Here is a 13,050-nt window from a genome sequence, read left to right as displayed (position 1 = left end):
AAGAATTTCTACAATTCAGTAGCAAACAAACAAAAAACCCTGATTAAAAAGTGGGCAAAGGTCTTGAATGGACATTTCTCCAAAGAAAATATACAAATGGTCTACAAGCCTATAAAAGGCTAATCAGGGAAATGCAAATCATAAACCACAGTGAATTATCATCTCACATCCATTAGGATGGCCACTATAAAAAACAAAACAAAACCGAAAAACAGTGTTAGTCAGGGACCGTGGCACATGCCTGTAGTTCCAGCTACTCAGGAGGCTGAGGCAGGAGGATGGCTTGAGCCCAGGAATGTGAGTCAAGCCTGGGCAACCTAGGGAAACCCCGTCACAAACAAGTATTGATGAGGATGTAGAGAAATTGAAAACCTTGCACACTGTTGGTAGGATTGTAAATAGTGCATCTACTATGGAAAACACTATGGAGGTTCCTCAAAAACTTAAAAATAGAGCTACCATATGATCCAATAATCCCACTTCTGGGAATATAGCCAAAAGACTTGAAATAAAGATCTCAAAGAAATATTTGCATGCCCACATTCATTGCCACATTATTCACAATAACCAAGATGTGAAAACAACCTAATGTCCATTGTTGGATGAAAGAAAGAAAATGTGGTGTAATAATGAAATATTATTCAGCCTTAGAAAGAAGGAAATTCAGGTACATATTACAACATGGATGAACCTTAAGGACATTATGCTAAGCAAAATAAGCCAGTCAAAAAGGACAAATACTGTATGATTCCACTTATATGAGGTATCTAAAGTAATCATAGAAACAGAAAGCAGAGTGGTAGTTGCCAGGGGATGGTGGGGAGGGAGGGGAGATGGGGAATTGTTCAATGGGAATAGAGTTTCAGTCATGCAAAATGAAAAGGTTATGGAGCTTTACTGTACAGCAGTGTGTGTGTGTAGTTAATACTGTGCTGTACATTTTAAAATTGTTAAGAGGGTAAATTGATGTTACATGTTTTTTATCACAATTAAAACAAAAACAAAACTATGGTCTAGAAACATCCTTTCTTTCTTTGCCGCATCTACTGTGTGAATGAAGACCATTTTCAGCAATCAGACTATCGACATTCCAGAAAATGTCGACATTACTCTGAAAGGACACACAGTTATCGTGAAAGGCCCCAGAGGAACCCTGTGGAGGAACTTCAATCACATCAATGTAGAACTCAATCTTCTTGGAAAGAAAAAAAAAAGAGGCTCCTGGTTGACAAATGGTGCAGTAACAGAAAGGAACTGGTTACCATTTGGACTATTTGTAGTCACGTACAGAACATGATCAAGGGTGTGACACTGGGCTTCTGTTACAAGATGAGGTCTGTGTATGTTCACTTCCCCATCAACATCATTATCCAGGAGAATGGTTCTCTTGTTGAAATCCGAAATTTCTTGGGTGAAAAATACATCCGCAGGGTTCAGATGAGACCAGGTGTTGCTTGTTCAGTATCTCAAGCCCAGAAAGATGGATTAATCCTTGAAGGAAATGACATTGAGCTTGTTTCAAATTCAGCAAGCCACAACAGTTAAAAACAAGGATATCAGGAAATTTTTGGATGGCATATATGTCTCTGAAAAATGAACTGTTCAGCAGGCTGATGACTAAGATCTAAGAGTTGTCCAGCTACAGAAGCAAGATGTCAGATGACTCCTAAAACCTACTTGTGATATTTAAATGATGCAATAAAAGACCTATTGATTTGGGAAAAAAAAAAAAGAAACATCCTTTAATGCTGCTCTGGGTGATGTTCCTCAAGCTGTATCCTCCAGCCAGGTCCTGGAAGACTTATTTTCCAGGTTTCTTCTAGAAAAGGAATGTAAAACTGAGCTTTCTAGACACTTCAAGAGCTGGAATGACAGAAGAGAAACCACCCGATATCAAGGAGTCAGGTGTGGTGATACACGGACTTGTATTTTTGAGTAAGGACACGACACCACAGAGGAAGATGGCAGAGAAGAGAGTGTCTCCTGAGGGCAGGGAGGAGGCAATGCCAAGAGGAAGCTGCCCCCAAAGAAGAGCACAGCCATGGGGCTAGAGCACTGTCCAAGGCTGGCCGCCATTCCACAGGCTGTTGAGTAGCACGGAAACATACAGTGAGGTCACCAGAACAATTGGAAAAGCTATTGTGTTGTGGAGGGACAATGTGAGCAGCTGGGATGTTCAAAAGATTAGTTGGGGAGCAGGACAGAGAGGAGTCTGCAGTTCTGGGAATGACAATGCCATCTTGAATGGAACTTAAAGTCCAATAAGGGCTACACACCATTTAAAAACACTAACTGGTAAATTGCTTGATATTTGATCTTTGAGGGGGTCAAAGTGAATCACTACTTTGTGAGTCCTTTGAGACAGACTTTAAAGTTTAATCCTGTGACATTTTGTAGGTTTTCTAATTTTCATTATAACAATTATAGGCCTGGCCACAGATTTAAGAAAGAATATATTGGCTGGGCGCAGTAGCTCATGCCTGTAATCCCAGCACTTTGGGAGGCTGAGGTGGGTGGATCATGAGGTCAGGAGATTGAGACCATCCTGGCTAACACAGTGAAACCCCATCTCTACTAAAAATTCAAAAAATTAGCCGGGCGTGGTGGCGGGCGCCTGTAGTCCCAGCTACTCGGGAGGCTGAAGCAGGAGAATAGTGGCCTGAACCCAGGAGGTGGAGCTTGCAGTGAGCTGAGATCGTGCCACTGCACTCCCAACCTGGGCAACAGAGCGAGACTCTGTCTCAAAAAAAAAAATAAATAAATAAAAAAGAGCCCAGCCTGATCTCCACCTCCCGTGGACTTCTCTGCTCTGGTGGCCCCTCTGGCCATGATGGTGCTTGGATTCTGAGGACTCTGCTGCCCCTGGGCTCTGGCGGGAGTCACAGAGGCAGCTCTGTCTCTCCAGCACTGAGAACAGAAACATAATCAGGTGATGTTTTGTGGGCTCCTGCTCCTTGGGCTGCTGTGAGGCTGAATATCTGCTTTTCTTCATCTGCAACCCAGCAGTGAGCCAGCAGCCCAGCCAAGTCTGGGGACACTGCTGGGCCACTGGCAGGAATGGCACCACAGGCTCCTCCTTCCTGAACCCTTGAAGCTCCTCATATCTCTCTGTTCCCTAATGCCCTACCCCAAGGCTGAGGCTGGCACAGCTTTCCTGCTAGAGGGTTCAGGGGGCAGTAAATGACCTTGCCTGAACTTGGTCCTCCTTGCCCCCTCACAATGACAGATCAGGGCTGATCCTGTGATTCCCTGTGCCTCTATGAGTTCTCCTCTGTAGATGAATCCTCTGTTGAAGCAAGGATCAGGCAGTGATGAGCTGAAGAGCTCAGTAGAAGGATGCTACAGAAAATCTGGCATTCATATGCATGCAGGTCCCTGGACACTCTCTTTGAGGGAATTTCCCTTCCCTCTCAGGCTGCCCCTGGAGTTTAAGTCCAGCCAGATAACCACATTGAGAGGAAGACTGGATGATATCCCGGAAAGCTCCGTGACACTAGCATCTAGATTCAGCCTCTGGGTGAGTCTGCTCCCTCCACCCCAGCTAAGGATATGAGCCTATGAGAGAGGAAAGTAGACAAAGGTGAGCATCAATATCCACCAACTATCGACAAAGACACAAACCACACATAATCAAAACCTACAGCAAGTTGGGTAAATTGCAGAGAAAATGTCCTGAAAATTATAGCATGAGCATTTCGGCACAGTGATGGCGCATGTCTTCCATGCTCAAATGAAGGGCAGAGGCTGGGTGCGGTGGCTCACATCTGTAATACCAGCACTTTGGGAGGCCAAGGTGGGTGGATCACTTGAGGTTAGGAGTTCAAGACCAGCCTGGCCAACATGGCAAAACCCCATCTCTACTAAAAATACAAAAATTAGCCGAGCATGGTGGCACAAACCTGTAGTCCCAGCTACTGGGGAGGCTGAGGCACAAGAAATGCTGGAACCTAGGAGGCGGAGATTGTAGTGAGCCGAGATCATGCCACTGCACTCCACCCTGGGTGACAGAGCAAGACAGTCTCAAAAAAAAAAAAAAAAAAAAAAAAAAAAAGAAGGAGGGCAGAGGCAGTGGTCCAGCTATAAAGCCAGGAGATGGCCATGGGGGAGAGTTTAATTCAGTACCCCCAGGACACCTAGAGCTCTTGCTAGGCCCACAGCTGTTTTCTGGTTGTTTGAAAGGTCACTGTGTCAACAAAACCCCTGGGGGCCAACACCTATAAGTCACAGCAGACATGCCAGGTCTGCGCAGAGGTGCACTGCTCAGCTTGTTCTTCAAGAGAACTTGCTGGGAGAAGTGCAGCTGGCTGAGAGCCTCCAGCTGCCACACCTTTCTGTCTGGCTCAATATTCAGGTTTCCCCTGGCTGCTTCTACCCAACGCCTGAACATGCCTGGGGTGCTAACGCTGCAACATTTCTGCCCACAGAGAGCCCCTCTAATAGGCAATGTTTGCCTGCGATTCTCCACTGGCCTTTCAGAGACTTTCTCGAGCTGCACTGTAATCTGAGACTCTTCCTACCCAATGCTTCCTTCCTTCTCTCCTTTCACAAGTGTAGGCTGTTTCTGCCTCCTGCTCCTCCCTTCTCCTTTATCCTCCACAGGTGTTTTCCCCAATAAATCTCTTGCACATCTAATTCTGTCTTTGTATCCACTTCTCAGAGGATCTGAACTGATAGTCCAGTACATTCATGGTCTGGGTCCAACAGTACTGGAAAGTTGATCTTCAGGTAGGCAAACCTAGGGGATTTTATAATAGCTGGAGAGAGTTGTGAACAGAATCATTTGTGCAGTGTTCAGAAGGAGGACTGGAGAAGGGGACATGAATCAGAGAAGAGGAACATGAGGCACATCACAAAGCCAATAAGCTGGGTAGTTTATAATGCATATTCATTTTGAGGGGAACAAACCTTAAATGGACAACAGTGGACTCGGTAAAGAAAATGTGGTACATATACACCATAGAAAACTACACAGCCATAAAAAAGAGCAAAATCATGTCCTTTGCAGCAACATGGATAGAGCTAGAGGCCATTATCCTAAGCAAATTAACACCAGCAACAGAAAACCAAATACTTCATTGTCTCACCTATAAGTGGAAGCTAAACAGTGAGTATACATGGCCGCAAAGAAGAAAACAATGGACACTGGGACCACTTGAGGGTGAAAGGTGGGAGGAGAGTGAGGATGCAAAAACTACCCAGTGAGTACTATGCTTATTACCTGGGCAGTGAAATAATTTGCATGCCAAACCCCTGCAATACACAATTTACCCATGGAACAAACCTGCACGTGTATCCCCTGAACCTAAAAGTTAGAAAGAAAAATAGAAAAAGAAAAACCTTAGTTGGAGCTGACTTTTAATCCCAACCCTGCCATCTCTTTGGGCAAGTCACTTAGGCTCAATTTCCTCATCTAGAAAATGGAAATAATGTTACTTACCTTGCTGGGTTGTAAGAATGGAGAGGATGAGGCATGTAAAGCACCAGCACGGGTACTCTCAGTTCACAGTAGTTACTGTTCATTATTAGTCTTTCTCTTTAGGAAGAGAAAAAATGCCTTCCTCTCTTTAGAGCCAGGCAGGGGCTTGTTCAAAAAGAAAGATCCTTCCAGCCTGGGCAACACCCTGTCTCTACAAAAAATAGAAAACATTAGCTGGGCATAGTGGTGCACACCTGTAGTCCCAGCCACTCAGGAGGCTGAGGTGGGAGGACTCCTTGAGCCTGGGAAGTTGAGGCTGCAGTGAGTTATAATTGCAACACTGCACTTTAGCCTGGGCAACAGGGCAAGACCCTGTTTCAAAAAAAAAAAAAAAAAAAAGAAAGAAAGCAAAAGAAAAGAAACATCCATCCTGAGTGGGGTCTTGGGAGCTTGGCCCTGTGGTGATAGGCCCATGGAAAGGTGAGGGTTCAGTGTCCACCCAGGGGGGTGGGTCAGCTGCCCCACTCTGCCCTTGTTGTGTCCTGCAGGGGCCCTGTGTGGTGTGATGCTCCTGGGGTGTGGGGGCAGAGGCGAGAGTGGGAAGAGGGGCGGGAAGAGCCTCCAAATTTAAGGTGGTTTCTGGGCAGTAGCTTCAGATGGGATGAGAAATGGACAAGAAGTGGAGCCTGGAAGTGGAATCAGGGTCGAGACAGGAAGGCCAGCCTGCTTCGGGCTCCTCCCCTTCCTTTGTTCATAGGCCTCAGCTGTGAGAGAAGTTAACTGCCCCTGTGCCTAGGGGACCTGGGTTGGGTTGTCCGGGGAGTAAGTTCTAAAGGGGCCCCTTGTCTTTTGAGGGGCCAGGCGGTAGGGTAGGGCTTGGCTCCAGAGGGTAGGGAACCACAGCAGAAGCAATGAAGAGGAGGAATCCGCCAGGTGCGGTGGCTTACGCCTGTAATCCCAGCACTTTGGGAGGCTGAGGCGGGCAGATCACAAGGTCATGAGTTCATGAATTCAAGACCAGCCTGGACAATACGGTAAAACCCCGTCTCTACTAAAAATACAAAAATTAGCTGGGCATGGTGGCGCGCGCCTGTAGTCCCAGCTACTCGAGAGGCTGAGGCAGAAGAATTGCTTGAACCCAGGAGGTGGAGGTTGCAGTCAGCCGAGATTGTGCAACTGCACTCCAGCCTGGGTGACAGAGCGAGACTCCATCTCAAAAAAGAAAATAGAAAGAGAGATGGAGAGGGAGAGGGAGAGGGAGAGAAGAAAAAAGAAAAAAGAAAAGAAAAGGAGGAATCCCCAGAAGACACAGTCCAGGCATCCAGTCCTGAGAATGCCCCCATCCCCGCCCCGGTGACCCACAGCCGGTAGTGCCTCCAGTACCCAGCATAAAGCAGGTCCCACTAGGGCTTGCTGGACCCCACAATTCTATGCCACTTCCTTGGCAGCTTCTTTTAAGAAGTCTGTTTTCCTGAAAGGAAGGCTACGTGACAAATTATTTTCCTCAGGGGCTGACTAGTGGAAAAATAATGACCCAGAAGGTAGCATTTGTCTCTCCTGTCCCTCTCCTCTCCTCTTCCTCACACCCTCCTCCCCACACCACAGGTGTCCACTTGTGGCTGTCAGGATGCTCTAAGGCCCAGCACCCCTTTTCTGCCTGGGAGGAGAGTAGCCAATAAATTAACCACATCAAGAGCACTATCTGTCTCCCGGTCCTCCAGGGCAGGAACTGGTAAAAGTCAGCTGGGCTCAACTGGGTTCTTTGCAAATGAACGAAAGAACTGAGGAAGGAGAATGTTTGCAAATACCCCTGACTACAACCCCACCTACCCTTCCTCTAACTTCACCTTCCTATTCCTTCTTCTCTCTACCCCTACCTTCCATAAGCCTTCCTCCTTTCCTCCCTCCCATTTGGGAGGCAGACAGACCTGGGTTGGACACTTTGGGCAGGTTATTTATCCTCTCTGTGCCAGTTTCCATGTCTGTAAAACAGGATGACCCCACCGGCACGCGGCTGTTGTGAGGATTAAATGGGGTGAGTACAGCAGCCGGCCCCAGTGTTCTCCAGGTTCTCCGGTTCGTGCTGCAGGCCCCAGTTAGGGGGACTGATTAGCTGCTGTAGGTCTGGAGCCGCTTAAAGTCCCAGGCAAGGAGGAAAAAGAGGGTGCAGTAGGGGGGTCCTGAGGGGTCGGAAGCTCAGAGAAGGACTGACTCATTGGTAGAGGAAGTAAACCCAGAGGTCAAAGGGGCCCTGCCCAGAGGTAGCAGTGATACCCAGTGCTGGGCCAGACACAGTGTCCTGGCTTCTCCCTTGTCCCCACAGGCCTCTGAGGGGTCAGGTGTTGAACCAGCATCCAAAAGAACATCCACTGAGCCAGGTGTGGGGATGGGCCCTTTTATTCATTTTGTCTTCATTAATCCTCCCCTCTCCTAGCAATCTACATGAGATAGGTGTTTTTATTCCCACGACACATTGGAGAAAACAGAGGCTCTGAGAGATAGGCATCTGGTGAGGAATAGGGCTGGGACTTGATCGGTCTAGGTAAAGTCCCCAGAGCCAAGGGGACTCTGAAGAAGGACATCTGAGCCAGACAGGGGGTCAGGTAAGGCCTTCTGGAAGCAACATGGCCTGATGAGTCATAGTGGAGAGCCATAAGTGCCCATAGAAGCCCCCTATCCCAAATATGGGAAATAGTGTTAGTTTTCCTCTACAAAGTCCAATCAATAGCAAAGCTAGCGACAGGTAGCACCTGCAAGGGGGCCCTCCCTGCCTCCCTTCCTTGGGCCCCCCTCTTACCATAGCCTCAGGTCTCTATAAAGTACAGCAGTTCCCACTGGGGGTGTGTGAAATAGGGCTAACAGAGAAGGGCCAGCTCTGGCCTTGCAACTCTCCCTTGGGCCCAGCAACTCCTGATGGGCCTGGGATCCCTGGAGAGCAGTGGGGGCAATGGGCCATACTGAAGTCTGTCCTCTGCTGCTCCAACTGTATTCCTTCCACAACTTTCTCTGGACCTAAGTCAACAAGAGCCTGACCCTCACTCAACCTCCTTGCCTGCCTTCCTTGTAGTGCCAGAAAAAAATCTCCTTGCTCACACAAAAATTTTCTTTTTCATTTGAAAATGGTCCGGGGCCAGGCGTGGTAGCTCACGCCTGTAATCCTAGCACTTTGGAGGGGCCGAGGTGGGCAGATCACCTGAGGTTAGGAGTTCAAAACCAGCCTGGCCAACATGGTGAAACCCCATCTCTACTAAAAATACAAAAATTAGCCAGGTGTGGTGGTGCGTGCCTGTAATCATCCCAGCTACTTGGGAGGCTGAGGCAATCGCTAGAACCCAGGAGGTAGAGGTTGCAGTGAGCCAAGATGGTGCTACTGCACTGCAGCCTGGGTGACAGATCGAGACTTCATCTCAAAAAAAAAAAAAAAAAAAAGAAAGAAAGAAAATGCTCTGGGGGAACTTCTCATTCAACTCTTATTGAATAAGAGGAGGATCCCGTATCTCCTACCCACCTACTTTTTTAGGGAATAATACATGTAGGTATGCTCTGGACGTGAGGCCATTCCTAACTGGGCTTGCCCTTTGGTGACATCCCAGGATCTGAGTCTGTGATCTGGTATAGCCTATTAGAAAGCCCCCAAAGTCTCCATGGAATGGCAACGGCCCATTGGACCAGCCCAACCAAGTTATACCTTACTTTCTCTATCTACAGGCTGCCTCCCCTGACATGGGAAGACAGACATCGAGGAGATCTGCTGGGCCCACAGGAGCTCCAAGGGAAATCACAGAAATGCTCGCCTTATATATAAAACTGCTTTATTAAAAAGTCAGCTATTAGGAAAACAAAGCCCTTACAAGGGTTCTATCAAAAAGTACAAATTTTAAATAAATGCATCAGAAAAATGGCAGCCAGATATACCAGCCACAGTCACAACCTCAAAGGCCTTGTGGGGAAGGAAGGGAGAATTAGGGAGGAGGTTCCGAGAACTCAAGGAAGAGGCTGGGCACAGAGGGTCTTTGGGTGCCTGCAGAGCTGGGTCCTGGAGCTACCAGGCAAGAACCCTGCTTCCGTTTTCCTTTCCTTGGAAAAATGTAAAGAACTGGCAGGTGTAGGAAATTTTGAGACTGGAGCAGAAAGGCACAAAAGTCATTTATAAGGTATGATTGCTCACTCTAGTCCTGAGGCACATGGGGTGGATAAATGGGGGATCAGAGCCACAGGGTCCCTGGCTCTGGTCATGCTTGCCCCTGGCTGGTACCATCTCTGAGTTTGGCCACAGGTTAAATTAAGGTAGACCAAGTGGACTGCATAATCCTGGCAGCCCGGGGTCTGGAGCCAGTCTTTAGATCAGATGTGTTGCTTCATTGGCAAACTGGTGTCTGCCCCCCAAGAGATCCCCCCAATGAGGAGCAGCAGGTCTCCTGCCTAGCCCTGTCCTCTGAGTCACTGTGGGTGCCCACCCTGGACAAGGAACTTCTGAGGGCAGTCTCTGCCATCCAGGATCCTGAGAAGCCCCAAGCCCCAGAGCCAGAGTTTCTCCGAATGACAGGCAGAAGCACAGAAAGCTGGCGTTGAAACCAGTCCCCACCAGCTGCTGGCCCCACACCCATGGTCACTGCTGACACGCCTCCTTGGTGACATTAGGCAGTGGGTAGGCAAAGAGGGAGAAGTCCAGGATATACTTAGGCAGCACATCCTGCAGCAGGGCCCGGGGGGCACTGCACAAGTGGTAATGCAGGCTTTCGGGGCTGGCTGGCCGGTACCAGGCCTGGCGAGCTGGAAATCGGACGTGAGGTGGTGCCCGTACCCACTCCAGCACCTGATTTGCATCAGCCTCCAGCCTCTCATAGGAGCCCACAAAGTCATAGTGCACGGCACAAGGCTGGCACAGGTGGTACACGGGCATCCAATGCTCATTCATGCGCTCAGGGTCCTCATCCACCAGGTATCTCAGGAACTCGGGGAATGTGACATCGTCGCCTGCAGGGCTGGGCCCCGCTCCAGCCCTGTACCGCCTCACTATCTCAGCCCCATAGCGTTGCTGGTACTCTCGGATCTCGCCAAACTTGTTGCGGTAGGCAGAGAGGAGGCGTTCCAAGGGCTCCCGCACAAACAGGAACTTAAAGTAGTGCTGCAGGCGGTAGCGAATCTCCTCAGGCCGCAGGTCGGCCAGGAACACCAGGTCACTGCGGTGGTCCATCTTGAGGCGGACGTCCACGCTGTCCAGGACGCCTGCCAGCACCTTCATCACCCGCTTCCAGTTAGAGCAGGCCACCTTGGGGACGTAGCAGTAGAGGAAGCGGTAACGGTCACTTACGAGGATGTGGCGCAGCAGGGTGCGCCGCTGCCCCACCGGCAAGTCCCAGGGGTCCCGGGGCATGCCTGGCTGTCCGCACACCGCCCGCAGGGTCCTGTTCCGGACGTCCTGCCGCACTTGCAAGTCCGCGTCCCCAGCCCTGAGGGACAGGCCCCCAGGCTTGGGGGCTTTCCCGCGCCAGGCTGTGCCCTCGCGGCCGGGCGGGTGCAGGGGCAGGGGCTTCATCTCGGCCAGGATGCCCCGCTCGATCATGAGCAGCAGCCCGCTGGAGGCCACGATCACCGCAAACATCAGCATGGACGGCAGCAGCAGGGGCGGCCCACCCAGCCCCGCCCGGGCCCTGCCCAGAGGGGCCCGCCTCAGCGCCCGGCCCAGGGGCTCGGCGCCATTTGGGGCCGCCAGCGGGGTCAGCGGGCGGGGGAACATGGTGCTCAAGGGGTGGGGGCCTGCGCGGGCCCGGCCGATCCGAGGGCGGCCTGGAAGGCGGGCTCGGGCTGGGGGCGGGAGGAGGGTCTGGGACCGGGGGTAGTTGGGGAGGGGAGGGCAGGGGACAGCCCTGGCGCGTGTAGGGGTGGCCGGCTCCCGGGCTGCGGCGCCGAAGCGGGCGGCGGGCGGCGGGCGCGGCGAGGGACCCGGGCCGGATGTCCCGCCCGGCCGCTCTCCACCCCCGGCCTCGCAGTGACACAGGCGCGGGGGCGGGCCCACGCCGGGGGCGGGGAGAGGGGCGGGCGCCCCTGCGGGGCGCGGGCTTGGGAGGGCGCACGCGGACCCCTACCCGGAAGAGGGCGCCTGAGTCAGGGCCACCCCTGTCCTCTGGGCTTGGGGACAAAAGCTCCTGAGACCTCGAAGGCAGAAAAGACTCGAGGCTGCTCTCCTGCAGCGTGTGTCCTCAGGGAAGTGGACAAGGGGGATTCGCCACAAACTCAGGCCTGTCCTAGCCCTTCCTCCAGCAACGGGTCTGGAGGCAGGGAGGCGGGCAGCGCTCTCTCCGAGTCCAGACGTGCCGGAGGCTGGTCTTTCCAGCTGGAAGCGGAGCCCTCGGTGTGCTCCCCCTTGCCACCCTTAACTCCCTCCGTCCTGCAGGTCGTGGCCACTCCAGGAAGGAGAAGCAGAACTGTCAGACACTGACCAGTCTCCATGGTGACCCTTGTGTTTAGCAATACCTGGGGACTGACTACAGTGCTTGTCCACTGGGTAATGCTGAAATGTCTGGAAATGGAGTCTCCCCTCCTCTGCCTTCTCCTCATGAGGCAGTGGGATAACTGGGCACTCTGGGGAGGGTCTGACACATTGGTCCATCAGCTGCTGGTGTGGCCAACACACATTTGGAAGGGTGAGGAGCTGGGGGCACAAAACAGCAGGGAAACAGCACGTAGTCTCCTTGCCTGGAGCTAGATGTGTGCTCCATGGCACCAGGCTGGTCACTTGGGCGGACAGCAGACCCGAAGTGCTTTGGATGTCAGCAACCACCATTTCCCACTGGGAACCTGGCTCAGTAGCCAGACTTGGTCCAGCTATGTGCTTGCTGCCTGCAGAGAGCCAGCAAGCCTCTGAAGCAGCAGAGGAATATGATTAGAGCCCAAGTGTACTGAGGACAGCGCCCACTAAGTGTTTTATATTCATTATCTCCTTTAGTTGTTACAGCCACCCTGGCAGGGAGCTAGTGTGGACATTCCCTTTGTACAGCTGAAGTAACAGAGGCTCAGGGAAGATGTGACTCAGTATGGGTGGTTCTGAGTCTAAAACCTAAATTTCTAATCACGGCCCTTCAGAGATTAAAGGAGCATATCATGGAATGGCTAGAAGGGAGGAAGCAGCTGACTCGAGGGCGGACTGTACAGAGCAGGTGATGGAAAATAGAAGATACCAGTGGGAGAATGGAGCTACCAGTGATCAGATGAATTCAGAAGGGTGAGGGGACTTGAGGGATGAGGTGATACTAGAGGGCTCACTGATGACCCCACAATCCCAGCAACAGGAAAAGCACACAGATGAGCCAGGGGAAGGAACGGTAAAGCCTTGCAGCCTTCCAGCTCTCCAGGGCAGGCTCTCCACATCTGATTGCCCCAGTGCATCTGCAGGCTACCACCTGTCCATTTGCTGCACCAGAAGTTTGCGTGAAGGTTCTGCCTTGTCTACACTGCTCCTTGCTTCCAATAATCCTAAAGGTATACATTTCTGGTGATAGGATTTTCTATTAAAATCATATTTTCCAGTAAGTATGTCCTTTAAACCAGGAGAGGAAAAAAAGGCCTTAGACCTTTAAAAATCTTTTGATAATGTGGCCACATGTGCTCCCTTCTGTGTTACAGGGTAGTTT

At 51.0% G+C, this 13,050-nt stretch overlaps 1 protein-coding gene and 1 pseudogene across 1 annotated transcript, besides 4 other annotated features; one reads left to right on the top strand and one right to left on the bottom strand.

Annotated features, from left to right (window-relative positions):
* RPL9P27 (ribosomal protein L9 pseudogene 27) lies at positions 1,027 to 1,719 on the top strand (annotated as a pseudogene).
* CHST14 (carbohydrate sulfotransferase 14) lies at positions 9,212 to 11,386 on the bottom strand. Its single transcript, NM_130468.4, has one exon. It carries the CDS (start codon positions 11,154 to 11,156, stop codon positions 10,026 to 10,028), a length of 1,131 nt encoding a protein of 376 aa, NP_569735.1. The 5' UTR covers positions 11,157 to 11,386; the 3' UTR covers positions 9,212 to 10,025.
* Positions 9,619 to 10,522: an enhancer, noted in NCBI's record as "H3K27ac-H3K4me1 hESC enhancer chr15:40764047-40764950 (GRCh37/hg19 assembly coordinates)". NCBI's record gives its function as "activates a minimal SCP1, AML or CMV promoter by ChIP-STARR-seq in naive H9 embryonic stem cells {active_cell/tissue: H9 hESC(naive)}" and the evidence as "EXISTENCE:reporter gene assay evidence [ECO:0000049][PMID:30033119]".
* Positions 10,975 to 11,224: a silencer, noted in NCBI's record as "silent region_6336". NCBI's record gives its function as "represses an Ori minimal core promoter by ATAC-STARR-seq in GM12878 lymphoblastoid cells {active_cell/tissue: GM12878}" and the evidence as "EXISTENCE:reporter gene assay evidence [ECO:0000049][PMID:35858748]".
* Positions 11,275 to 11,514: a silencer, noted in NCBI's record as "silent region_6335". NCBI's record gives its function as "represses an Ori minimal core promoter by ATAC-STARR-seq in GM12878 lymphoblastoid cells {active_cell/tissue: GM12878}" and the evidence as "EXISTENCE:reporter gene assay evidence [ECO:0000049][PMID:35858748]".
* Positions 11,805 to 11,914: an enhancer, noted in NCBI's record as "active region_9245". NCBI's record gives its function as "activates an Ori minimal core promoter by ATAC-STARR-seq in GM12878 lymphoblastoid cells {active_cell/tissue: GM12878}" and the evidence as "EXISTENCE:reporter gene assay evidence [ECO:0000049][PMID:35858748]".

This window comes from Homo sapiens, chromosome 15, assembly GCF_000001405.40.
Source record: "Homo sapiens chromosome 15, GRCh38.p14 Primary Assembly".
In the NCBI taxonomy this organism is placed as follows: domain Eukaryota; kingdom Metazoa; phylum Chordata; class Mammalia; order Primates; family Hominidae; genus Homo; species Homo sapiens.
Note: the sequence above shows the minus strand (reverse complement) of the source record. Positions and strands in the feature narration are given on the sequence as shown.